General features: G+C 46.8%; 2 protein-coding genes across 27 annotated transcripts in view, besides 4 other annotated features; one reads left to right on the top strand and one right to left on the bottom strand.

The window, feature by feature from the left end:
• The window catches only part of KCNK12 (potassium two pore domain channel subfamily K member 12), a 61,696-nt gene extending 56,342 nt beyond the window's left edge, over positions 1–5,354 (bottom strand). Inside the window, exon 1 of the mRNA NM_022055.2 lies at positions 4,310–5,354. Within this exon, the coding sequence (NP_071338.1) occupies positions 4,310–4,700 (391 nt within the window). The 5' untranslated portion in view covers positions 4,701–5,354. The remainder of the gene's footprint in view (positions 1–4,309) is intronic.
• Positions 1–25,791, top strand: part of MSH2 (mutS homolog 2) — a 306,764-nt gene that overhangs the window by 162,565 nt on the left and 118,408 nt on the right. The window lies entirely within an intron of this gene.
• Positions 3,725–4,594: an enhancer, noted in NCBI's record as "H3K27ac-H3K4me1 hESC enhancer chr2:47796495-47797364 (GRCh37/hg19 assembly coordinates)". NCBI's record gives its function as "activates a minimal SCP1, AML or CMV promoter by ChIP-STARR-seq in primed H9 embryonic stem cells {active_cell/tissue: H9 hESC(primed)}" and the evidence as "EXISTENCE:reporter gene assay evidence [ECO:0000049][PMID:30033119]".
• Positions 5,748–6,278: an enhancer, noted in NCBI's record as "H3K4me1 hESC enhancer chr2:47798518-47799048 (GRCh37/hg19 assembly coordinates)". NCBI's record gives its function as "activates a minimal SCP1, AML or CMV promoter by ChIP-STARR-seq in primed H9 embryonic stem cells {active_cell/tissue: H9 hESC(primed)}" and the evidence as "EXISTENCE:reporter gene assay evidence [ECO:0000049][PMID:30033119]".
• Positions 5,772–5,931: a silencer, noted in NCBI's record as "silent region_11465". NCBI's record gives its function as "represses an Ori minimal core promoter by ATAC-STARR-seq in GM12878 lymphoblastoid cells {active_cell/tissue: GM12878}" and the evidence as "EXISTENCE:reporter gene assay evidence [ECO:0000049][PMID:35858748]".
• Positions 6,279–6,807: an enhancer, noted in NCBI's record as "H3K4me1 hESC enhancer chr2:47799049-47799577 (GRCh37/hg19 assembly coordinates)". NCBI's record gives its function as "activates a minimal SCP1, AML or CMV promoter by ChIP-STARR-seq in primed H9 embryonic stem cells {active_cell/tissue: H9 hESC(primed)}" and the evidence as "EXISTENCE:reporter gene assay evidence [ECO:0000049][PMID:30033119]".

A 25,791-nucleotide genomic window follows, 5' to 3' on the forward strand; every position in this document is an offset into this window, starting at 1 on the left:
ATGTGTAAATCTGACAGCAGATGCATAATTAAAACCCCAGTGGAGAGTTTCCATTTAATCTTTTCAAAGTTAACTGATAAACATCCTTTAGGATGTGAAGTGATGGGTTAATTCTGTTTGGATTGTTTGGAATATCTCTGAGCTGGAATACTGTCTTCAAGAATATTGTTTCGTGCTAAAAGAACACAAGACAGTTATCTTTATCTTTAGGAGTTCATACAATCACAGGAAGTGCAGACAACATGCCAAAGGCCACACATGCATCTATGATGAGTGATGCTTGTCTTAGATGTTTTTTAATTGGCAGAATGAATAAATGGATACATTCACATTAAAACAAACTTGATTTCAACCCCCAGGGAATATGTCACATAGCATAAATGGGAGAAATAATAATTACCCAGGATTTCAGTTCAGTGTAAGCAATCGGTATGAATAATTTAGACCACAAAGTGGATTTTTATTTCGCTTGAGCTATTCAGATTGACTTTCTACACAGCCTGAACGGCTGCTGAATAATCACAGGCAAAATTTTCCACTGGTACCGCACTGTGTAGACACACGTGTATCTACACGATTGCAAACTGCCCAGCTGTGGATACGGGGCCCTGTTCAAACCAAATATCAGGACAAACATTCTACTTCATTGTGGTGTTCCATGTAACCTTGAGTACACACAGCCATACCTGAACCTTTCATTACGTCTTCCACCAGGTGAAAGCCCATTCCTGCTCCTTCTTCCCCTCCTCTATACACATGTGCTCTCAAGAGTGTGTGTGTGCACGTGTGTACACACACACGTGCACACACACATACACACACTGGTGCAAAAAAGGGCAGAAAGCAAGTGACTTCTGTCCTTAGACCACAGTTTGCCAGAAGTTCTCCTACTTGCTAGTACCCCATCTCTGCCCTTTAGGCTGGCTTTTGCCTGTCTAGCTAACTAAGACCTGCCAGATGCTTCTAACTTGTCTGGCCTGTAAATCTGTCTTGTCCTTCAAGTTTTCTCTGGACTTAATCAGTTGATGACGTGACCAATAGACCAGCAGACCAGTCCCTGCCCTGGTTACACACACATACACTCTCTCTCACACTCAGACAGACAGACATTATTAAATATTGCAATCTCAAACAAGAACGTTCCCACCAATTATATGCATGAAATTGGTGGATATTGCACAACTTGGTTTCTGGACCTAGCTGAACCCCTCATTAACTGTGTGACCACTGACAAGTCCCCTAACCCTGTGCCACATGAGATTGGACCAAAAAGGTCCCCTTCTTGTTCTAATCATCTTCAGTGAGGATGGCCAAGATACGTTGCTCATAAATGCTGTGATCCAGCTGCCCATGTTGGAATATGCCTTAATCTCTGCCATGCAGAGTAAGCTTTAACCTTTCAAAATACAGCCTGATACATACAATCATGTTACGGAATGAATGGAAGGAAAGATTTCCAATACTAAAGTCTAGATGAATCACATATCTGGGTCTACACAACACACACACACATACGTATGTCCTTTTGATTAGGCAGTATAAATAGCTGAATCAAATCATTTTGTTCCCCTGAATTCCACAGCACTGTATGAACCATATACACTGTGATACTCACTCATCAAATAAAACTGAGTATGTGCTAATTTTCCTCTTCATTGGATAAAGAGTCAGATAAAGAATCCTGACTGCCCATTTTTTGTGGACTGAGGTTTTGCTCCCTGATCTGTTGAACCCATACAAGCATCAATAATAATAATAATAATTGTCTTTGAAGATTCAGGCCATTTAAGAGAAAGGAACTATGTAAGCAGAAGAGAAACTGACCTGTGGAGATCTTTACTTAAACCTCATCCAAATGCATTTTGCAAAGAGAAAGCTGAAATGCCAATTATGCTACTTGGGGATTCAGCAGAACTTATCTGACTGATGGAAGTGACCAATTTGAACCACTGACCCCAGAATATCCCAGCAGGGGCAATAATCAGCAGAGACCCTGCTACTTTTGTGGCTGTCTTGGCATCCTCACAGAGGCCTGGTTCAACCCTGAGCTGTACACAGGCTGGTTTAAATGTTTCCCCGCAGATTTTGGAAGCAACGTGCTGGGTCACTCGTAATATAACCACATGCTTCAGTGTAGCCCTCCTACATTGCTTGCCTACATCTGAAAACACGAATCAAGAAAGAGAATATAGCTCCTTTCCACTTGACTAAAGAACAGTCAATCCTGCCAGTAGACTAAAGGCTGGGGCATGGAACAATTTCCCAACACACTGACTTGATTTTGTGTAAACTGCTGAAAGAGAAGCTTTAGAAGCTGTGGCTGGGCTCAGAATCAGTGCCTCCAAAGGAGCACCGAATGACAGATTGATGGAGCTCATCAGAGAGGCACAGAGACCACAGGCCATTGGAATGGGGCCTTATTTGGATGGACTCATGGCCCAAAAAGGAAAGGGACACTGCCAACAGCTTCCCCTTTAGCCTGTGGGTTCCATTAGGAAGCCGGAACATGTCACTGGGAGAAAGTGCTATGACCACCCAATATGTGCACAGGTGCCTCTAGGTGGAAGAAAGGGAAAGGGCGTGTTTACAAGAAGAAGAGCACAAGTCAACAATGAGCTATGGATGCATGATGTCATCCTCTAGGACTAAGCATCCTTAGTACTTTTAAAGCACTTAAAAAAAAAAAAACTCTAGTTGCTATAGCAACTTGATGCAGCTCTTAAAAGGGGATTTTTTTTGAGGGGGTCATTTTATATCTTCTATCACCATAACAACATGATATAGCTTTTTAAAGGGTATTTTTATCCAATTTGTGTGTGCCTTGGACTTGGGCCATATTTGCCTTTTCTATTTAAAATAATCAGATCAAGCATGACACATGAAAAATCATTGAAGGCAAGGAAGTGCTTTCATAGACTATACATATACACTTAGAGAGACATCTCTAGCTGCTCATATGCTGCACATGGAGGCAGCCTCTCTCCCTGCCTCCAACCAGCCATCTGCTGTGGCTTATCCTGGGCAGTTACAGTCCATGCCTCTGTATCTGAACTGGCATACCAAACCACTCCAGAAGGTGTGTCTATGAAATCCCTCACTTCTCAAGCCCAGCAAATCCAGCCCCCTCCTCCAAAACTGCACAGGAGAGAGTGCCTTAGGGTGACTAGAGGTGTGACCAGCCAAGTGCCTTCTTCCATCCTGGGATTCAAAGCAGGAGTGGGGGGACACACACAGCCTTGTCAAGGTGATAAGCATGCGTTTCTGCTGCACTCTATACAGGTGAGTAACCGAGGGTGGGGGCTTTGTTTCACATGACACCCAGGGCCCAGGGAAAGTGGGGGATGGGAAAAGTGAGTGAGAGGAGAGGAAGAAAGAGGAATGAAGGGGTGGATGGAGAGCAGGGGTGGCTCCAGAATTTCTCCACAGGAGCTCAGAGGCAGCAATCTGGCCACAGAGGGAGGGGTGGGGGCCTGAAGGAGTATTGACACAGCATTCTTCATAAGGTTGAGAAAACGTGAACTGTTTATATCCAAAAAAAGAGAGAAGAGATGATGGAAAGAATAGGGGAACTATCCCTGCTCCCAGCTACCCCTTGGTACCACTAATGGTTGGAAAAAGTGGCAAGGGAACAAAAAAAGGGTCAAGAAATTGGAGAAGGGGCTGGGAGCTGGGGGAGAACACAAGGAAGGGAGGCAGAACAACAGCAGCTGAAGTCCTGGCCTCAGGCTAACGGGCTTTACTTTGGGGGGCGGTATAGACTGTAGGAGAAGCAAGTGGGAAGGAGATGTAGGGAAAGTGATCCTGGGGCAAGTGGTCACCCTCTCCAGGGTAAAGGAGTTAGAGGCCACTGAGGGAGAAAACAGGGTAAAAGAAGAAAGCGGGGGAGACTATGAAAAGAAATAAAAGCGCCGAGGGTGGAGGGAGAAGGGGCTTTTGAGATCATCCTGGAGAGGAAACTGAGGCCTGGGGGTTGTGGGTGGAAAACAGGAAGGAACCGGTAGCCCTTGGCACGTATTCTTAGAGGAGAAAACGGAGGCTCACAAAGGTCAGATCACAGAGCCGGCCAGTGTTGGAGCACAGGCGGCCCGGGGTGAGCGCCAGAGGTGGGCTTTCTTCCCTCACTGAAAGCCGGGAGGGAGAGAGAGAGAGAGAACGGGGGCCGGCGGAGAAGAGGGCGAGACGAAAGTAAGCAAAGGGACATTAGAAGGGAAGGCAGAGCCGAGGGACGCGGACCGAGCGGCCGAGCAGTGGAAAGGGCGGCAGGTGAAAGGCACAGAGAGGAAAGATGCGCGGGGGACGCGCCGCTCACCTATGGTTGACACCACGGTGCCCACGAAGTAGAAGGCGCCGGGGAAGTCCCAGCGCGGGCGCAGCGCGTCGGCGCGGACGCCGGCGGCCAGCGCGGCCTCGTAGTGCCGGAGGAAGGCGCGCAGCTCTGGCTCGGCCACGCCGTGCGCAGCGCTGAAGTTGCGCAGCGTGGCGCCCCAGCGCGCCCGCGCCTCCGCCTCGCCGGGGCTCTCGAGCGCCGAGAAGACTGTGGCACCCGCCACCAGGTAGAGGCCGATGAGCGCCGCCAGCAGCACGAAGCGGCCGGTGTCCTCGTTGAGGTGCGAACGGCGGCAGCAGCAGCAGCAGCAGGAGGGGCGCGGCAGGCGGCGGCGGCTACGGCGGGGCGGGGGCCGGGGGCTGCGGGAGGACATGGTCCGGAGCTCAGCCCCGGGGCCGGGGCGGCGCTCGGGGCCCGGGCCACGACATCCCCCCGGCGGGAGCAGGAGCGTGAGGATGGTGGCCAGGGGTCCGGGGCCGCCGCGGAGCCCCTCGCCGCCTTCGCAGAGCCCCTCGTCGCCTTCCCAGAGCCCGGACAGAGGGGCGCCTCCGCCTCCTCCCCGGCGCTCAGGCCACACGCGAGTCCCGTGGCCCAGCGGGTGCCCGGGCAGGGGCGCTCCTCTGCGCGCCCCGACGCCTCGCCGGCTCCCGCGGCTCCTTACCCGCCGCTCTCGGGCGCGGGGCTCCGCAGCTAGGCCCCTGCCGCCCGGTGGCCGGCGTCCGCGGGGCCCCGGGCCTCATACTCCTCTCCAGACAGGCCGCGGGCTGCGGGCGGGGTGGGCCGTGGATCCCGGGCGCCTAGGACCGGGACGCGGCAGCAAGGCGTGGAGAGAGCCCCCGGGGGCGTCCCATGAGGCGTTCGGGATCGGCGCCTCCTAGGTGCGGGCTGTGCGGGCAGTCCTGCTCCCGCCCCCGGGGCTGAGCTGGCGGCGTCGGCTTCAGAGCCTCGGAGCCGAGCCGAGTCCGGGGAAGCGCTCCTTTCTCAGCTCCAGCCGAAGAGCCGCCCGGCAGGGAGAGGCGGAGTCACTGGCGCCCGGGGCGGGGTGTTGGGGAGGGGTGAGTAGGGACAGGAGGGAGGGGGTGGAGAGTTGGGCTGCTGCGACGCCTCCCGGTGGCTCTGGCGGCACCAATGCGGGGCACCGGAGCAGGTGTCCGACTGCGGTGCGGGCTACCACTCCGCCGGGGAACCTCGTCTTGCTCCTCCCTGCGCTTCGCCTCTGGAATCTCTCCCTTATCTCATGCCGCGGTGAAACTTTGCTCAAGTTGGTGGTGCTCTGAGGTCTCCAGGGCTGGAGGCCGCGCGACGCGAATCGCCGACACTGGATTCTCGGGCGTTAGTCCGAAGTTTAAGTTCCCTTCGTTCACTCCTTTGCCCTGGATCGAACCGCAGCCCCAGGACGCAGCGGGTTCCACTGGAAACGGGGAATCGGGGAGAGGCGGTCGCTGGGCTCCGGGCGACCTGGGAACGAGGGCGTTTGCTCCCCCTCCCGACCGAGCGGGCGGCCGGCGTCAGCACCGCGGACAGCGCATCGGTGCCGCAGCCGCGGGCGGGCGCCGCTAGGGCTGCCAGGGGTCCGAGGCGCGGGCAAGGCTGCTCACCCCGCTGTGCTGTGCACCCCAAACCTTCCCTGTTTTCCTTTCTACCTCCCGTGTGCACCCCCCTACCCGCCACCCGAGGCAGGTGCGGTCGCTGAAGCAGGCTGCTGACAGGGCGGGGACGCTGCGGAATAGAGACGGGGGAGGAGTCAAGCGCGGGTAGGGGGCCAAGGTGCCACAGGGAGAAAGAGCCCAGGCCCGGCGGACTGCCGGGCTCCTCGCGCCACCCCAGCTCACCGACCCCTCTAGCCCGGGGCGGGGAATAACACCCTGGGTGCGGTAGAGAGTAGAGGAATAGAGGAGGTGTAGGGGAAGCTCACTGGCAGCTCCCCTGAGGCCGGCGCGGGGAACGGTGTGCTATGGAACGCCCCTGGGAAATGGTCGCCCCCCTACGCCCCACCGCGGCAGGAAAAGACGACGGATGCCCCGCGCGGCTGCGGGTGCTCCTCTGCTGGACACAAGCCGGCTTTGCCGGGGCCACAAAAGTTCTGGCGTGGAACACCCTCAGTACAGGCGGAAAATCATCCTCTTCGGGCAGCCAGCTCCTTCCCTGTCCTCCCGCTTACTATGGACTGCGGGAAGCAAGACCCTGGTGATGATATGATGGCAGAAAATAAAAATAATAATGGTGACTGTACTTAGATATCCCAGGTGGGTGAGCGGTGGCAAAAAGCAGACCCCTGCCCCCTGCCCTACCGCCCATTTCCAATCCCGGGCTAAGGTCAACCCAAAGTGGTGGCAGCAGCGTCAGTCAATTACGGGTCATAGTACTAAAAGTGTTCCCTCCACTACTCACTGAGCATTTCCCGCCTTCGAAACTAGGGCCGGTCGCAGACAGGAGAGCTGCTGAAAGCTGAAAGGCATTTGACTTGGGGTGTTGATTGTCCCAAACCAGGGTGCTCTGGAGATTTGGTTCTTCCCAGATATGCTGCCTCAGTTTATAGATGGAGCCAAGTACACTTCCCTCTGTGGTAGGGACAGATGGGTGGAAACTCCACCACCACCATTTCAGAACTAGGCTTCCTGGCACTGGATGGCATGTGGCTAGTTTTGCAGGGCTCTTCTTACAATGGGCCTAGGGTATCGTTGTGTGAGGGGGAGAATATCTTATCCACCAAGAAAGTCGAACCTCCCTCTTTTCTGGAGCACAGCAGAAGGTGTATACAAACACAAATTTTTGTTATTGCAGACTATTGTTATTATTGCCAAAACAGTCAACTCTTTCTCCAAGGCTTTGGCTCCCCTGGACTCTCCACAGATGCTGCCCTAGGCCCTGTTCCCCCAGTACCCCCACTCTTAACAGCTTCAGTACACAGTGAGGACAGCCCTGTCATGGACCTCTGGGGCTGGATTCCGCTTGGCTGGTCAGCTCTTGACAGAAGCCCTGAGATGTGTCATTCTAGGAGTTGCCCTGGAGACTCCAGATGTAACTGAAGGGCATTGCCAGGCCTCTCAGAGGCTATCTTTGCCCAGACTTCCCAAGCAAACACAGGGTGCTTCGCTGCAGTATTCTCTGCCTCTGGGACCAGTTCCTTGCCCAGTTGGCAGAAGGCCTGTCTTGTCCTCCAACTTGCTATTCTAGCTTGATTAGCAGCAAATCTCTGGCATCAATCTCAGCTCCGAATGACCTAATCAATTTGTGTAATAGGGAAATGATGAGTTCCCTGCACATAGGCACAGGATTTTTAGGGAACCAGCCCCGTGATAAATGCGGCTTTTGCCCACTAAATCAATATTTAAGCTACTGACTTCCAGCTGGCTATGCTCAGAGCCTTTACCTCAGCCCTGAATTGCTGCAATAGACTCCTAAGGACAAGGGCTTGCTTAGTGTCTCCCCGCTTAGGTCCATCCTGCCTGCACCTGCCAGTCATCGCTGTGATCATGCCCATCTGATATGATCATGTGATTGAAGTATCTAAACCACAGTCTCCAATGGCTCCCCTAAAGCTATAAAAATGTAGTCTTTAAACCCTTGAGGCTGCCATTCAAAGACCTTGATGAGGTGATTCCTAACAAATCATTCCAGCCTCTCCTTCTACTAACTTTTACTTATTCCCCAAGTACTCTATATCCAGCCCAATCACCAGGCCTTTACTTGTGCTGTGGCCCCTACTACAGCACTATCTTCTCTCTTCTCTCCAGCTCTTTACAAAAACCAGCTCAACTCAAGTTAGACATTTTTTCCAGAAAGTTTTTCCTTTGTAGGATGTTTTGAGCCAATCACTTTGATGCCATCTTTTCAACTCCATGATTATTGAATCTGCTATGCATGCAAAAATTTCAGATAAGACACGCAAATAGGTACGGCCTCTCTTTCTCTTTTCTGTCTCTCTCTGTGTGTCTTTCTGCCATACACACACACACACACACACACACACACACACACACACATGCACGCACATAAACACAATATAGGAGTGTTAACCCAGAAAATTAGGTAAGGTCAAATGGAACCAGTTGGCAACTCCACTCCTAGGTATATACCCAAGAAGATAAACAAAAATGTACCTTCACAAAAACTTGTACATGAATATTCATAGCAGCACCATTCATAATAGCCAAAAAGTAGAAAGTGATCAATCTGTAAGTCCATTAATTGATTAATAATAAATAAAATGTAGTATATACAATGACATATTTGGCAATAAGAAGGAATGAAGTACTAATATATACTACAATGTGCATAAATCTTGAAAACATACTAAATGAAAGAAGCCAGTCACAAAGGACCACATACTGTATGATTCCGTTTGTATAAAATATCCAGAATAGACAAATCTATAAAGACAAAACACTTAGTGGTTGCTTAGGGGTGGGGGTTCAGGAGAATGGTAGTGTCTGCTAATGGGGATGGGGTTTCTTTTGGAAGTGATAAAAATGTTCTAAAGTTGATTGTGGTGATGATTGCACAGCTCTGTAAATATACTAAAAAGCATTGAATTGTACACTTTAAATGAATGAAGTGTATGGTATGTGAGTTACATCTCAGTAAAGCTGTTAAAAAACAAATACAATGGACCAGGCATGGTGGCTCATGCCTCCAATCCCAGCACTTTGGGAGGCTGAGGCGGGTGGATCACGAGGTCAGGAGATCGAGACCATCCTGGCTAATACAGTGAAACCCTGTCTCTACTAAAAATACAAAAAAATTAGCTGGACTTGGTGGCAGGCACCTGTAATCCCAGCTACTCAGGAGACTGAGGCAGAGGAATTGCTTGAACCTGGGAGTCAAAGGTTGCAGTGAGCCGAGATCGCACCACTGCACCACTGTACTCCAGCCTGGGTGACGGAGAAAGACTCTGTCTCAAAAAAAAAAAAAAAAAAAAAAAAAAAAAAAAAAAGATATGAATTGAGATAATCTTTATCCAAAAAATGGAAACAAATTTATCCCAAGGAGGCCGGGTGCGGTGGCTCATGCCTGTAATCCCAGCACTTTGGGAGGCCGAGGCGGGCGGATCACGAGGTCAGGAGATTGAGACCATCCTGGCTAACACGGTGAAACCCCGTCTCTACTAAAAATACAAAAAATTAGCTGGGTGCAGTGGCGGGCGCCTGTAGTCCCAGCTACTCGGGAGCCTGAGGCAGGAGAATGGCGTGAACCCGGGAGGCGGAGCTTACAGTGAGCCGAGATCGGGCCACTGCACTCCAGCCTGGGCGACAGAGTGAGACTCCATCTCAAAAAAAAAAAAAAAGAAAGAAATTTATCCCAAGGAAAATAATTGCTTTTAGAAATGAGAAAATTTGAAACAATTTAGTTGTGTTACAGAGAAAATTATGAAATTAAATTTGAATAAAGGAGTTTCCTCCAAAATACTTTCTCTTAAAAATTAATCTGTGATGGTAAAATTTTGGTGACAAGTTTTGCATTCCAAGTAGTAGCAGATTCAAAATGTTCTGGTTGCCTTCAAACCTCTTTGATCTTCTTGTTCTCAGAACTCCTCTAGTACTCATTGTCTGCATTACTTATTGGCAATTAGCTGTGTAACGGGATACTTTTTTTTTTAAATATGGAGAAGATGGTTATCGCTATCCTGTGAAGGGTCAGTTGCGTTGCCTTCTTAGTAGTATAGATGCAGCAGCTCTTCTCCCCCCATTCTCCTGGAATTAGGTTTTTATAAAACCTTTTATGTTTTAAGTCATTTGGCAAATGTTTCCTCACACCATGTTTCACAGAGCTGGTAACTGGGAAGAAGTGAACCAGTTTTACCCAGGGCCTTCCAGAATGGAAGGGAAAGACATCTGATTTGTCTTCTGTGAATTTAAGATTAAGGGGTCTTGTTGAGAAAAGCATGGGGAGAGTCTGGTCACAGCCCAGGACCTGGGAGAAAGGCCCCTTGAAATAAAATTATTCTGGGGAAGCAGGAGTCTGACTGGAGGCTTAGACAAGGGTCTAAGTGCTTTGGTGACACAGGATGTAACTGATGCTGGATGCCCTGTAGTTCGATCTCCCTAGAACTGTATGGGATTTGAAGACAAGGGTTGAATCTGGACTTGTGACCTGAGAAGACAGTAGCCTTGGTGCCTGAAGTGGTTCCTTATGATAAAGTGCATCTTGAGTGGTAATAGGCAAGAAATGTCTCAAATGGTACAGCAGCACTTAACGATAACATTTGTAATAGCACTTACAATACTGTCCTCCTTTTCTTTCCATTGGCATTTGGAGGACAGGGTTCCTGTTGGACTGAAAAAAAACATGGGTAACGTGCCTCTATTTTCATATTGCTCTTATGTCTAGATGTTCTATCCATTATTGAAGGTGAAATATTGAGGTCTGCAACTACAAGAGTAAAACTATCTAGTTCTCCCTTCAATTATGTCAATGCTGGTGTCACATATTTTGAGGCTCTGTTGTTTGCTGCATATATGTTACAGTTGTTATAGCTTCTTGATGGATTTACCCTATTGTTAATAGAGATGGTGTCTGATTTACAATGGTTTGACTTGCAATTTTTTGGTTCTACAATGGTGTAAAACCATTGCACTTTTGACTTAATGTGTAGTAGTCAATAAATTACATTAAGATACTCAACACTTTAGTATACAATAAGCTTTGTGTTAGATTATTTTGCCCAATTGTAAGCTAATATACATTTTGGACTTAGGATATTTTCAATTAATGATGGAAATATAAAAGAATTTATCCCAAGGAAAATAATTTCTTTAAAATAAAAAAAAGGGAAAATTGGAAACAATTTAACTGTTCTATAGAGAAAATAATGAAATTAAATTTGGATGTAACCCTATCATAATTTGCGGAGCATCTGTATATGATGTCCTTTTTTGGTCTCTTATAATAAATTTTCTTTTTCAGACAGGGTCTCACTCCATTGCCCAGACAGAAGTGCAGTGGCACATTTATAGCTCACTGCAACCTAAAACTCCTGGGCTCAAGCAATCCTCCCACCTCATCCTCCCAAGAAGCTGGGACTATAGGCATGTACCACCATGCCTGGCTAATTTTCTTATTTTTTGTAGAGATAGGGTCTCACTATGTTGTCCAGGCTTGGTCTCTCAAAGTGCTAGGATTACAAGCATGAGCCACCACAACTGGCCTACAACAATTTTTGGCTTACAGTCCATTTTTTCTAGTATTTGTATAGCCACCCAGTTCTCTTTTGGTTACCGTTTGCATGGAATATCTTTTTCCATTCTTTCATTTTCAACCTATTTGTCCTTAGATCTTCAGTTAGTTTCTTGTAAACAGCATATAGTTGGGTCTTGAGACTATCTTATAACTCAACTTGTTAAAAATTTGTGACTGTTCAGCTGCTCTCTGGTTATTTCCAAATAACTGATGAACAGATTTTTATTGAGAACCTACCAGGTATAAAGCAGTGTACTATAAACTGTGTGTGTGTGTGTGTGTGTGTGTGTGTGTGTGTGTGTGTGTGTGTGTGATGAACCTTACTCTCCCTGCAAGAGCTTAGAGTCTGGCTGGGGTGATAAGATGCACATGTATGAAGCAGTAAGGACTATGATATAGCAGATACAGTTAGGAGCTGACTGTATGGTGCTGGTCACGGGAGGTCAGAGAAGGGAGCCTGTAACAAGGGCTGCAGGAGTCAGAGGAAGCTTTGGATAACAGGAAGAATGGGGGCAAGGCCTAACAGATGGGTAAGGTTTGGATTGACTGAAAGAGAGGGAACATCCCAACCAGGAGTATTGACCTGGGTGCAAATATAGAAGCAAGAAAAAACATATTGCGTTCAAGGAACTATGGTGGGCGCGTGTTGAGTATGGGTGAGAGGAGAGGGAAGAGTCTGTTTCTTATAATCCAGGACCTCCATTGGTGGCCTCTCAGCCTCTCAATACAACTTTAGGGCATAGATTAACCGACCCTGTGAAACCCAAAGGTTAGTTTTTTCCTTCTAAAATGAGAGTCGGATATATAATATATGTGGACTCTGGCTTGATGAAGCCAATTTTATGGCAAACTTTGTTTTCCCACAAACATGGCCACACTGAAAGGCACAAGCTATGTCTGCAGGGGAAAAGGAAGACAAATTGGGAACATACTGGGTGCAAAGTTGGGGGCTCTGGTATTAAAACCTCCTTGGGCTCAGTTGCCATATCTGTCTTTGTGAAGAATGCACTATGTCATCTTTAAGTCACCATAATATTTGAGGATTAATGAAGCTGATTGCTGCCTGTTGATAGGGAGTTTTGAAATGAAGACAAGAATCCCAGAGTGAAGAGGAGCCTTAAAGCTTTGAGGGCAACTCCTTATTTCCTAATCCTCTTGTGTAGAAAGTTGTGGGTTCCTTGTCTGAATGTCTTTATGGAGTCCTGTCTTCTAATGCTGAATCACTCTTTATTAAGAAGTGATTTTTTAAAAATGATTTTTAAATATCTATTTCAACTCTTTCTTATTTTAAAATCTAATCCAGATTTTTTTGTTCTCTAGGTAAGGCCATTCATGTGTTGATTTTTGTCTCAAATGGATTTTGATATAACTTTTTAAGACTGTATAAGTAATGCATAATTAAATTCTGATAAGACTTTTAAAAACTATATAAAGTAATGCATAATTAACTTAGAATAATTGGAAAATTCAGGAAAGCTAAAAATAAGAAAATAAGAATTACCCCCAATTCTATCACATTATGCACAGAAAATTACTGTTATCAATCATTTTAATGATCTTACTGCCTGGTTGGTTGGCTCTATCTGTCTATCTATCTACATATACATACACATATTTGATTTTAGTAAAGTTATAGGATATTTTACATACTATTTTAAACTTACTTTTTTATTTAACATCATACATCATTCAAGACATCTTTTGATTTAAACATATTTGTTGAGCACCTACTATGTGCCAAGCACTGTTCAAGGTACCTGAGATTGTTCAGTGAACATGGAGTTTATATTACTTTCATGTCAATAAATACATATGAAGTATCATTTGTTGGCATAGTGTACTCTAAAATAAAGTTTTAGCTGAATTTCACATTGGTAGATATTGCTGGATTCTTAAGATTTCCTACTCTTCTTCCCTCTTCTCTGTCTTTAGTTCATCACTCTCTTTTTTCCCCTATTAGAATATCAGCACATGTTTGAGTTTGGCTTCTCAATGAGACTTCTAGTTCCCACCCAAATCTCTGTTCAACCTCTTTTTTAGCAATAGAACTCCCATTTTATTTGAGATGTCACTGTGACCAGTTAAAAGACCCTATTTTCCATTCTCCCTTATAAGGTGAAACTGTATTTTTTAATTCTAGCAAAATATTATGTGGGTCTTCCAGGAAGGCTGCATAAAAGAAAGCTAATTCCACAGGAAGGGGGGCCCTTTTGCCCTTCTGCCATTTCTCCTTCCTCAGTCATGCTTCCTAGAATATAGATGTGATGACTGGGACTCCAGCTGCCATCTTGAATCATGAGGTGACTTTGAGGATGGAAGCCACAGTGTGAAGGAGCAAGTTCCTGCATGAATGAGTCTGAGATTGGAATTTAAACCTTCAAATGTGGTGAGACCATCAACAGGCCTGACCTTCATTTGCTTCCATTTTTTCCTCTTATCTCCCAATCTCCCCTCTTCTCTCAGGTATTTGTACCTTGTGTTCTCATCATGGTTGACTTTCCTGTGGGATTTTTCCCTCCACTTGGTTCCTCTATATTCTTGCAATTGGGAGAGATGAAATGTCAATAACTTTTCCAATCCAAAACCAATAGGCTGTCAGAACCAAGAGCAAAAACAAAGCAAGGGAGGAAGGCTTAGGAGAAAGATGCTAGAGGGTTGCCATAGCTAGTATTTCATCATTTGAATGAGTCAGGACTCTATGAATATTGAACTGATCGTTTTAGAGAGTTAGAATATTTGTTTTAGCTAGGCAACTCTAAAAAGGGGATGAGACCCAGAGGAGGAAAGAATGGAAGGTGGCATTGGAAGTAGATAGATTATGGAAGCAATGATTTTTATAATGAAACATTCTCATTTATTAACTTGTCTGTGGATTGTGAAACATGCAAAGACGAGATTTGTTCATTAGACATTAATTAAAACTGCAATGCTGAAAATGGATCACAGCATAGAACATGATGTTTGATGTAAATAAATGCGTAGGAAACTGGGGGTAACTGTTTTACTTGCTAATAGCCCAGAAATGAGCATTGGTGAGTGGGGAAATTGGAGGAGGGGTGTGTAGTAGGAGATGATGTGTGGAGGAGTAGCATTGGTGCAGTTAGGTGTGGGGATGGGTTGGGGAGAAGAGTCTTGGGGATGCCTTTCCAGGTATTACATGGGTCAATAGGGCTTCTAGGGGGAGGAATGTTTCTTGTGAATAGAAGGTCTTCTTTATAGTTGAGCACATGAGTGTGGTCAGTCAGCTTCCCTTTTTCTCCCTCCCTCCCTCCCTTTCTTCCTTCCTTCCTCCTATGTAACAATTTTTTTTTTTTTTTTTTTTTTTTTTTTTGAGACAGAGTCTCGCTCTATCGCCCAGGCTGGAGTGCAGTGGTGCAATCTCGGCTCACTGCAAGCTCTGCATCCCAGGTTCACGCCATTCTCCTGCTTCAGCCTCCCAAGTAGCTAGGACTACAGGTGCCCACCACCACGCCTGGCTAATTTTTTGTATTTTTTAGTAGAGACGGGGTTTCACTGTGTTAGCCAGGATGGTCTCCATCTCCTGACCTCGTGATCCACCCATGTCAGCTTTTAAACCTGTACTCTGTGCCAGGCACTGTGCTATTAAGGATCCTAACTCATTTAAAATTGCCTATATATTAATGACTGGGTAGGAGGGAGGGTGGGAGTACCATTAGGGGCTGTTGGAATAGCAGATAAAGAAACTAAGGCCCTGAAGGGCAGTCAGAGGTACTCACTTAGTAGTGCATTTGCAGTCTCCATCAACCCAACAATCCCCTGGGCCGGCTGGCCTTGAAGTGGATGGTATTCTACCTCCTTATAGTATTGGACCCTCCTGCATGCAAGTTCCTTGGGGCTCTTATTGAATATGCAGGCCTTTCTGTTCAGCATATTCAGCAACTCAGAGCCTCATAGTAGAACAATTGGAGGAGAATTGTCAGATGGTGATGAGGGAGAATGAAAGGGGAGACAGAAGACAAAAGCTGGAAAAGAGAACAGCTTGAGAAAGGTTTCCTGGAAAGTTGAAATCTTTGCATGCATATTGAGCAGGAGCAAAAGTGCTAAATAAATGCATTCTCAGACATTGATTACAATCTGGGTGGGGTTGTCTCACTGTATGAGCCCTCATTATGTTATACTTAAAAAGCATAATATACTGTAACCTGAGGGTAATAAGCCAGCCAAAGCACTTGCAGGATTCACCCTGGGAGCTATAGCCACCCTTAGCATTCTTCATAAGCAGATTTTATCAGGAGAAAACCTCAGGTTGGGGTAGAGGAGGCCCCACTGAGTGAAAATGCCAGGATTCGAGTGACTCTCTCCCCTCTTCCCGGTTCTCTTAACAGAAGCTATATCACAAAGGGCCCCAGGCTCATTGGAAGGATCCCAGTTTGGTTTGCTCATTTCTTTCTCCATCAAGTATTATGGAACACCAATTAAATACTAGATATGTGGCTAGATGCTGGATACAAGAGCCAAAATTGACTTGGTTTCTGCCTCATTCAGCTTCAGGATCAAAAGTTACACAAGTCAATGAAAAATGACCATGGTGACAATGGCTGTGAAGAAAGACTATGTTGTTTCAGGAGATGCATATAGGGATATTTGACTTAGGCAGGGCTGAGACAGGTAGGCATTGACCAGGAAGAGGGTAAGTGAATGACAGAGGGCAGCTGTGCAGCTTGGAATGGCATGCCAAGGCTGTTGGCAGGAGGAGAGAACTATGGAAGACCACTGTGAGGTCATTTGGGGCTGGGCAGAGGCCTGATCCTACAGGGCTTTGGAAGCCCTGTTACTGGAAAGGGGTCCCAGTCCAGACCCCAGGAGAAGGTTCTTGGATCTCGCGCAAGAAAGAATTCAGGGCGAGTTCATAGACTAAAGCAAAAGTAAGTTTATTAAGAAAGTAAAGGAATAAAGAATGGCTACTCCATAGACAGAGCAGCCCCGGGGGCTGCTGGTTGCCCATTTTTATGGTTATTTCTTGATTGTATGCTAAACAAGGGGTGAATTATTCATGCCTTCCCTTGTAGACCTTATAGGGTAACTTCCTGATGTTGCCATGGCATTTGTAAACTGTCAGGGCGTTGGTAGGAATGTAGCAGTGAGGATGACCAGAGGTCACTGTTGTCGCCATCTTGGTTTTGGTGGGTTTTAGCCAGCTTCTTTACTGCAAGCTGTTTTACCAGCAAGGTCTTTATGACCTGTATCTTGTGCCGATCTCCTGTCTCAACTTGTGACTTAGAATGCCTAACTGTCTGGGAATGTAGCCCACTAGGATTCAGCCTCATTTTATGCAGCTCCTATTCAAGATGGAGTTGCTCTGGTTCCAACACCTCTGACAGCCCCATAAGAATTCCTAAGAAAAAGGGGAAGCCATGGTGTTCTAAGCAGAGGGTGATGGACTCACCAGCTACTTCTGCCTCACCCAAGGTCTCATTGTGCATCAGGAGAAGGCTGTTCAGAGCCTTGACTCCCTCTCTCTTGCACTTGCCCCATCTGGGGATACCCAACTGCTGTTTGTCATGCGCATCTGTGTGAAGAGACCGCCAAACAGGCTTTGTGTGAGCAATAAAGCTTTTTAATCACCTGGGTGCAGGCAGGCTGAGTCTGAAAAGAGAGTCAGCAAAAGGTGGTGGGATTGTCATTAGTTCTTACAGGTTTGGGATAGGTGGTGGAGTTGGGAGCAATGTTTTGTGGGCAGGGGGTGGATCTTACAAAGTGCATTCTTAAGAGTCGGGAGAATATTACAAAGTACCTTCTTAAGGGCGGGGAAATATCACAAAGCACATTATCACAAGGGCCGGGGAGAATATTACAAAGCACCTTCTCAAGGGTGGGGAGGGTGTATTGTCAAAAAGTCAATTGATCAGTTACGGTGGGACAGGAACAAATCACAATGGTGGAATGTCATCAGTTAAGGCAGGAACTGGCTATTTTCACTTCTTTTGTGGATCTTCAGTTGCTTCAGGCCATCTGCATGTATACGTGCAGGTCACAGGGTATGTGATGGCTTAGCTTGGGCTCAGAGGCCTGACATTCCTGTCTTCTTATATTAATAAGAAAAACAAAACAAAATAGTGGTGAAGTGTTGGGGCGGCAAAAATTTTGGGGGGTGCTATGGAGATATAATGGGCGATGTTTCTCAGGGCTGCTTCAAGCGGGATTAGGGGTGGCGTGGGAACCTAGAGTGGGAGAGATTAAACTGAAGAAAGATTTTGGGATAAGGGGTGATATTGTAGGGTTGTTAGAAGGAGTATTTGTTGTATAGAATGGTTGGTGATGGCCTGGATGCGGTTTTGTATGAATTGAGAAACTAAATGGAACACACAAGGTCCAAATAAAAGATGAAGAAAAATAGGTATTAAAGGGCTAAGAAGTGGGAGTACCCAGGACATCCAATTAGAGAGTGTCCAAGGGGGTTCAGCATAATTATTTGCTTGGTTGGTGAGTTTTTGGGCTCTATCCTTGAGTTTTTTTATGTTGTCATGTACCAGGCCAGATTGATTTAGGTAAAAACAACACTCTTCATTTAAAAATATACAGAGTCCTCCTTTTTCAGCAGTGAGTAAATCAAGGCCTTGGCAGTTCCGGAGGACAACTGCAGCTAAAGAGTCAACCTGGGCTTGGAGGACAGATAAAGTTTGTGATATATCTGTAACGCTAGCAGAAAAGTCATTAGAGAGGCTGCGGAATGTTGTGACAGAGGTGGATATGCCTGCTATTCCAGTTCCAAGAGCAATAGTAGAGGCAGAAAGTCCTAGGCCTACAAGTGTAGGGATTAGTGGGATGACTCTTTTTTGTTGTGTTGGTGTCATGAGAGGGACAAGCAGTTGTTCATTCCCATCTGCAAACTGGATTTTGGGGGTAAGGAAGACTAGAGTACATGTGCCCATCCATTTGGCAGGTAGGCACATGTAGGTGGAAGAGCCACATAAAAAGAAGAGACCTTGTGTCAGGCAGAACTGGAAATGTAAAGTGAAAAAGTGAGACGGTGTACTCAAAGAGGAGTCCTGCACCTGAAATCTTAGAGATCCAGCAAGGGCAGCAGCCATTAGAGGTTATAATGGGGATTGATGGTGCAACTGCATAGAGGGAGAGGTTTGGTTTTCGTGGTATATGAGAAAGTGCATAGTGTCTATGACTAACCTTTCACTGCTATTCATGGGGCTTGGTATAAGCAAGCAAGAGGAGGGCCTAGGAGGAGATTCAGACAAGCAGGGGGAGGGTAGCCAAGGATGGAGTGAGATGCAGGGTAGGTGTCTTCCTTAACAATAGTGACTGCCAATGTTTTTTAGTTTGTTAATAATGATAGAGGGCTTATCAGTAATGTGAAGTTGGAACGCTCCCATCTCTTTGATAATGTGTGTGGCTGGGTTCTGGAGATAAAGAGTAAAGGAACGTTTGGACGGTGGAAGGTTGCCTAAAGGGATTCCAGTAGGCTGTTGTCGGGAGATGCATAAAGGAGCGGCAACAGGGATAGTTGTTTGTGTGGTTAGAGGTCCAAATATGGCGGGGTGGAGGGGGGTGGAATTGACATAAGGAGAAAGGTGCCGTAAATAGACGTGGAGAAGTGTGGCAGCTTGTTGGTGCAAAATATCTGGGGAGTTCTCACCAAATCTGCCTAGAAAGTAAAGAAGTTCCTCAGATGGGTAAAGATGAGGGCTATTAAAGGAGGTTCGGAGGTATAGGGAGACAGGAGAGTAGCCCAGTCAGCCTGTAGAGCAGGGATGGCTGTGTAAGAGTGGGAAGAAAGGGAAATGCATGGCCAACAATTATTTGCTAGAGAAGGATTGGAGGCAGTGAGGAGAGAGTGGGTGAGATTGATAGTGTGCTGGAGGTAACTAGGGAGAGGTAGAGAGTGACTGGAGAATGGGGGCAAGGATAAGAGTGAGTAGAAAAGTAAAAAAAAAGAAAGACCTTCATCAGGATAGAAGAATTGGAGTGTACCTTGCCACTGAAGATCTTCTATCCACTTCAAGAGAGACTTAGGGGTGGCGGTTTGAGGTAAAACCAGGAGATATCAGTTATGATGGTTTGGAGGAAAAGTGTGGTATTTACGATTAGTTGAGAATGGTGAATAGGAGTGTGACTAGACAGAAGATAGTAGGGATGACAAGTTTTTGGGGTGCAGTCCAAGTAGTGGGAGTGACTGTGTAAAGCCCTGTTGCAAAAAGTAGGGTAAGGATGAATAGACCTAATAGAATGAAGGGATGTATTAGGCTCATAAGGGTTATTACTGCTCTTCAGAAATGCGAGTGAGTTTAAGGGAAGTAGGGGAGAGTACTTGCAATTTCCAGGGGGAAGAGGAGAGATCAGGCTGGCTGTCTGATGGGCACAGCTTTATTCTGGAATGGTGAACCCAATGGGGAGGGTCCTGCAGGAGGACGGCAGTTGTGGTACTATAGATGACTAAGTAGGGTCCGGTCCATCGAGGTTGTAGAGTTTGAGGGGTCAGATTCTTAACAAGAACTGATCATCCAGCTAGGGTGTCTTCATATGGCTGGGAATCTGGAGTAGGCAAGAGAAGATTAGCAGCCTGGTGAATTTCCTGTCTAGCCTGATGGAGGACTGGAAGATAGTCGCACAGAAGGCTGGTGTCTGGGATGAAGTTGGGGCCGAGCAAGAAAGTGCGTCCGTATAAAAGTTCAAATGGACTATACCCTGTAGCATCTCAAGGACAAGCTCTAATTCTGAGAAGGGCAAGAGGTAAAAGTACTGCCCAGTCCTTTTTAAATTGGAGGCTGAGCTTGGTGAGGTGTGTCTTTAAAAGACCGTTAGTCCATTCTACCTTTCCTGAAGATTGAGGACAGTAAGGGGTATGAAGATTCCACTGAATACCAAGAGCCTGAGAAACTGCTTGGGTGATTTGACTAATAAAGGCCTGTCCGTTATTGGACTGTATAGAGGTGGGAAGTCCAAACCAAGGAATTATGTCTTACAGAAGGGAAGAAATTACCATGGTGGCCTTCTCAGACCCTGTGGGAAAGACCTCTACCCATCCAGTGAAAGTGTCTACCCAGACCAAGAGGTATTTTAGTTTCCTGACTCGGGGCATGTGAGTAAAGTCAATTTGCCAGTCCTGGGCAGGGGCAAATCCCCAAGCTTGATGTGTAGGGAAGCAGGTGGGGGTGGCGGGGAGGGGAGCCTGAACAATCCCTGAGGAGTAGTAGAATAGCAGATGGAACACTGAGAAGTGATTTCCTTGAGGATAGATTTCCATGAAAGAAAGGAAATGAGATATTCTAAGAGGTGGGCTAGCGGCTTGTAACCTACATGGAAGAGGTTATGAAATGACGGCAGAATAGAATGGGCCTTTGAGGCTGGAAGGAGATATTTTCCTTGGTCCAAGAACCATTTGCCTTGTGTGAGAAGAGATGGATAGATGGAGGTTTTAGTGGGAGAGTAGGTGGGAGTTACCAATGAGAAGGAGAAAAACTGGCCATGAGGGACAGAAGTTGTAATGCTCGCTGCTTCTTTAGCTACCTTATCAGCATAAGCGTTGCCCTGAGTGATGGGATCTGATGCCTTTTGATGGCCCTTGCAGTGAATGACTCCAGCTTCCTTTGGAAGTAAAGCGGCCTTGAGAAGAGTTTTTATTAAAGTGGCATTAATGATGGAGGACCCTTGCGTAGGGAGGAAACCTCTTTCAGCCCATATAACAGCATGGTGGTGCAGGATACGGAAGGCATATTTAGAGTCAGTATAAATATTGATGCGTAGTCCCTTTGCAAGAGTGAGGGCCCGAGTTAAGGCAATGAGTTTGGCTTGCTGAGAGGTAGTGGAGGGGGGCAGAGTGGCAGCTTCAATGATAGATGGAAGGTACTATAGCATAGCCTGCCTTTGCTGGTTAGTGGCGATTAGGCCTGGTAAAACTGCTGTCAATAAACCAAGTGTGATCAGGGTGAGGAACAAGAAAGAAGGAAATATGGGGAAATGGAGTGAATGGCAGGTGGATCAGAGAGATACAGTCATGGGGGTCAGATGTGGTATCCGGAATAATGTGGGAGGCCGGATTGAAGTCCAGGCCAGGAACAATGGTAATTGTGGGAGACTCAACAAAGAGTGAGTATAGCTGAAGGAGCCAGGGAGCAGAAACTATACATGTCAGGTGTGAGGAAGAAAATAGATTTTGGAAGTTATGAGAACTGTAGAGAGTGAGTTGAGCATAGTTTGTGATTTTGAGGGCCTCTAAAAGTATTAGGGTGGCGGCAGCTACTGCATGGAGACATGATGGCCAGCCTAAAACAGTAGGGTCAAGTTGTTTGGATGAAAGGCTACAGGGCATGGTCCCAGTCCTTGTGTAAGAATCCCGACTGCACAGCCCTGCACTTCTGCTGTGTGTAATGAAAAGGGTTGGGATGAGTCAGGGAGAGCTAGTGTGGGGGCAGTATTTAAAGCTGTCTTCAAGGAACGGAAAGAGGAGTGGGAAAAGGATTTAGGATCTATGGGGTCCCTTTGTGAGTTTATATAATGGTTTCCCTTTGTGAGTTTATATAATGGTTTTGTTAGGATGGCAAAACCAGGTATCCAAAGGTGAAAGTATCCAACCATGCCCAGGAAGGAAAGGAGTTGTTTTTTTATAGAAGGGTTTGGGGTTTGAGAGATCAGCCAGACATGACCGGCAGGGAGAGCATGTGTGTTTTCATGAAGAATTATGCCGAGGTAGGTAATGGATGGAGAAGAAATTTGAGCTTTGGAGGGGGATACCTAATATCCCTTGGAGAATAAATATTAAAGGAGCAGGAGGGTGTCTTGTTGAGAAGATTCAAAGGAGGGGCTACAAAGTAGAAGGTCATCAACATATTGAATAAGGTGAGAAGTGGAGGCGTGGAAAGAAAGTAAGTCATGAGAAAGAGCTTGGCTAAAGTAATGAGGGCTGTCACTGAAGCCTTGTGGCGGCAGTACAGCCCAGGTAAGCTGCTGGGACTGATGGGTGTCAGGGTCAGTCCAGGTAAAAGCAAAGAGAGGCTGGGATGAGGGGTGCAGGGGAATAGTGAAAAAAGCGTCTTTAACATCAAGAACGGAATAGTGAGTTGTGGAGGAAGGTATTGAGGACAAAAGAATGTATGGGTTGGGCACCACAAGGTGGATAGGCAAAACAATTTGGTTGATAAGGCACAGATCCTGAACTAACCCGTAAGACTTGTCCGGTTTTTGGACAGGTAAAATGGGGGAATTGTAAGGAGAGTTTATAGGCTTTAGAAGCCCATGCTGTAGCAGGCAAGTGATAACAGGCTTCAGTCCCCTTAAAGCCTGTTGTGGGATGGAATACTGGCGTTAAAGCAGGGTAAGGGTGATTAGGTTTTAATGGGATAATAATGGGTGTGTGATTGGTTGCCAGGGAGGGAGTAGAGGTGTCCCATACTTGTGGGTTAAGGTGGGGGGATACAAGAGAAAGACACAAAGGAAGCTTTGGGTTGGGGAGAAGGGCAGCAATGAGATGTGGTTGTAGTCCAGGGATAGTCAGGGAGCAGATAATTTTGTTAAAATGTCTCAACCTAATAAGGGAACTGGGCAGGTGGGGATAACTAAAAAGGAGTGCATAAAAGAATGTTGTCCAAGTTGGCACCAAAGTTTGGGAGTTTTAAGAGGTTTAGAAGCCTGGCCGTCAATAGCCACAACAGTTAAGGGGGCAAGGGAAACAGGCCCTTGAAAAGAAGGTAATGTGGAGTGGGTAGCCCCCGTATCAGTTAAAAAGGGGATGGACTTACCCTCCACTGTGAGTTACCTGAAGCTCGGCGTCTATGATGGTCCAGGGGGCCTCTGAGGCAATCAGGCAGCATCAGTCTTCAGCCGCTAAGCTGAGCAGATCTGGGAAGGACTCAGTCAGAGAGCCTTGGGCCAGAGCTCTAGAGGCTCTGGGAGTGGCTGCCAGGTGAGTTGGACAGTCCAATTTCCAGTGGGGTCCTGCACAGATGGGACACAGCTTAGGAGGAATCCCAGGCTGTGGGCATTCCTTGCACCAGTGACCAGATTTCTGGCACTTGAAGCAACATCCTGGGGGAGGAGGCCCTGGAGGAATGCCTGGCCACTGCAATTTAGGCGTTTTGAAGTTCTTGTGTGGTGGAGATGTGGCTGGGGTTTCTCTCACAGTGAAGGCAAGTAATTGCAATTCAGAAATATGTTGCTGCTTGGCTGCCTCTTCTCTATTATTGTACACCTTGAAGGCAAGGTTAATTAAGTCCTGTTGTGGGGTTTGAGGGCCGGAGCCTAGCTTTTGGAGTTTCTTTCTAGTGTCAGGAGCAGATTGAGTGATAAAATGCATATCGAGAATAAGACGGCCTTCTAGCCCTGCTGGGTCCAAGGCTGTAAAGCATCTCAGGGTTGCTGCTAAACAAACCATGAGCTGGGCTGGGTTTTCATCCTTTCCTTGGGTAGTTTCTTTAAGTTTGTCATAATTAACAGATTTGTATGCTGCCTTTTTAAGCCCTTCAACTAGGCAAGCAGTCATATAATCTCACCTAGCTATACCTGGGGGAATCTGCCTGATAGTTCCATTGGGGATCTTCTCGGGGAACTGCTCTAATGCCTTCCTGGAGGCCTGGCTCATGAAGCCGGTGGTTGTCAGTGTGAGATTGGGCTAGAGAAGAAACTCTTTCCTGTTCATCTGGGGAGAGAGTAGAAGTTAGGATGACATTTAAATCACTCCAGGTTAAATTGTAGGACAGAGTTAGATATTGGAATTCCTGTATATATTTAGCGGGATCTGATGAGAAAGAGCCTAAATGCTGGCTGATTTCAGAAAGCATTCAGAGAAAAAGGCACATGTACCCTGACTATGCCTTCAGCTCCAGCCACCTCTCTAAGAGGAAATTTTTGGGCAGGTGGGGAAGAGCTAGTCATGGAACGAAACTGTAAGCCAGACCAGGTGTGAGGAGGAGAGGTGATAGAAGGGTTGTAGAGTGGGGGAGCAGAGGCTGAAGAAGAGTTGGAACCTGATTCAGCCTGGCAGGGAGCAACCTGAGGAGGAGCAGTCTGGGGAGGAGGTGACAGGTCAGATGGGTCGGTAGAAAAGGAAGATTCAGAAGACTCAGCGATGCTTGGGGTTGGTACTGAAGGGACAGGTGGGAGGGAAAGAAGGAGGATTTGGGATGAGTTGCATTGGGAACAGAGACTAGGGAGGGAACAAAGTGTGAAAAATGCCTGGACATAAGGCACCTCAGACCACTTGTCCATTTTTTGACCAAAATTATCTAGGTCTTGTAGGATGGAGAAATCAAAAATGCCATTTTCTGGCCATTTAGAGCCATTATCAAGTTTGTGCTGGGGCCAAGTGGTATTGCAGAAGAAAATAATATGCTTAGGTTTTAGGTCAGACGAGAGTTGAAGAGGTTTTAAATTCTTGAGAACACAGGCTAAGGGAGAAGAAGGAGGAATGTAGGGTGGAAGGTTGCCCATAGTGAGGGAGGCAAGCCCAGAGAAAAGAGAGGATAGAGACACAGAGAGGGGGGTGGTACTTGCCACCCAGGGGAGGTGGTGCTTGCTACCCCAGGGAGGTGGTACTTGCCACCAAGGTGAAGGATCAAGGCAGGCGTCCCCGTGGTGATCAGACACCTCTGAAATGTGGGTGAATAATCAGGCAGGCATCCGCACAGTGATTAAACACCGAGGTAAGACTGTTTTCCTGAGTCCGTGACCAGCACCAGAGTTTTGGGTTCATGGATAAAGCACGTCTCCTCTGTCTCTACCAGAAAAAGAAAGGAACCAAAATTAAGGAAGAAAGAGATTGAAGGGTGGAAGGATGGTGAGAGAGATTGGAGAAGAGAATGAAAAGACCGCTTACCCGATTTGAAATTGGTGAGATGTTCCTTGGGCTGGCTGGTCTGAGGACCCGAGGTCATAGGTGGATCTTCTCACAGAGTGAGGGCGAGGACAGGGTACTGGTCTCCCGAAGGAGTCCTCCTGTCCCAGGTCTTTGGCACCAAATGTCATGCACGTCCGTGTGAGGAGACCACCAAACAGGCTTTGTGTGAGCAATAAAGCTTTTTAATCACCTGGGTGCAGGCGGGCTAAGTCCGAAAAGAGAGTCAGCAAAAGGTGGTGGGATTATCATTAGTTCTTATAGGTTTGGGATGGGTGGTGGAATTAGGAGCAATGTTTTTCAGGCAGGGTGTGGATCTTACAAAGTACATTCTTAAGGGCGGGGAGAATATTACAAAGTACCTTCTTAAGGGTGGGGGAATATCACAAAGTACATTATCACAAGGGTGGGGGAGGATATTAAAAAGTACCTTGTTAAGGTTGTGGGAATATCACAAAGTACATTATCGCAAGGGTCGGGGAGG

The sequence above is a fragment of the Homo sapiens genome, chromosome 2 (genome assembly GCF_000001405.40).
Source record: "Homo sapiens chromosome 2, GRCh38.p14 Primary Assembly".
Taxonomy (NCBI): Eukaryota; Metazoa; Chordata; class Mammalia; order Primates; family Hominidae; genus Homo; species Homo sapiens.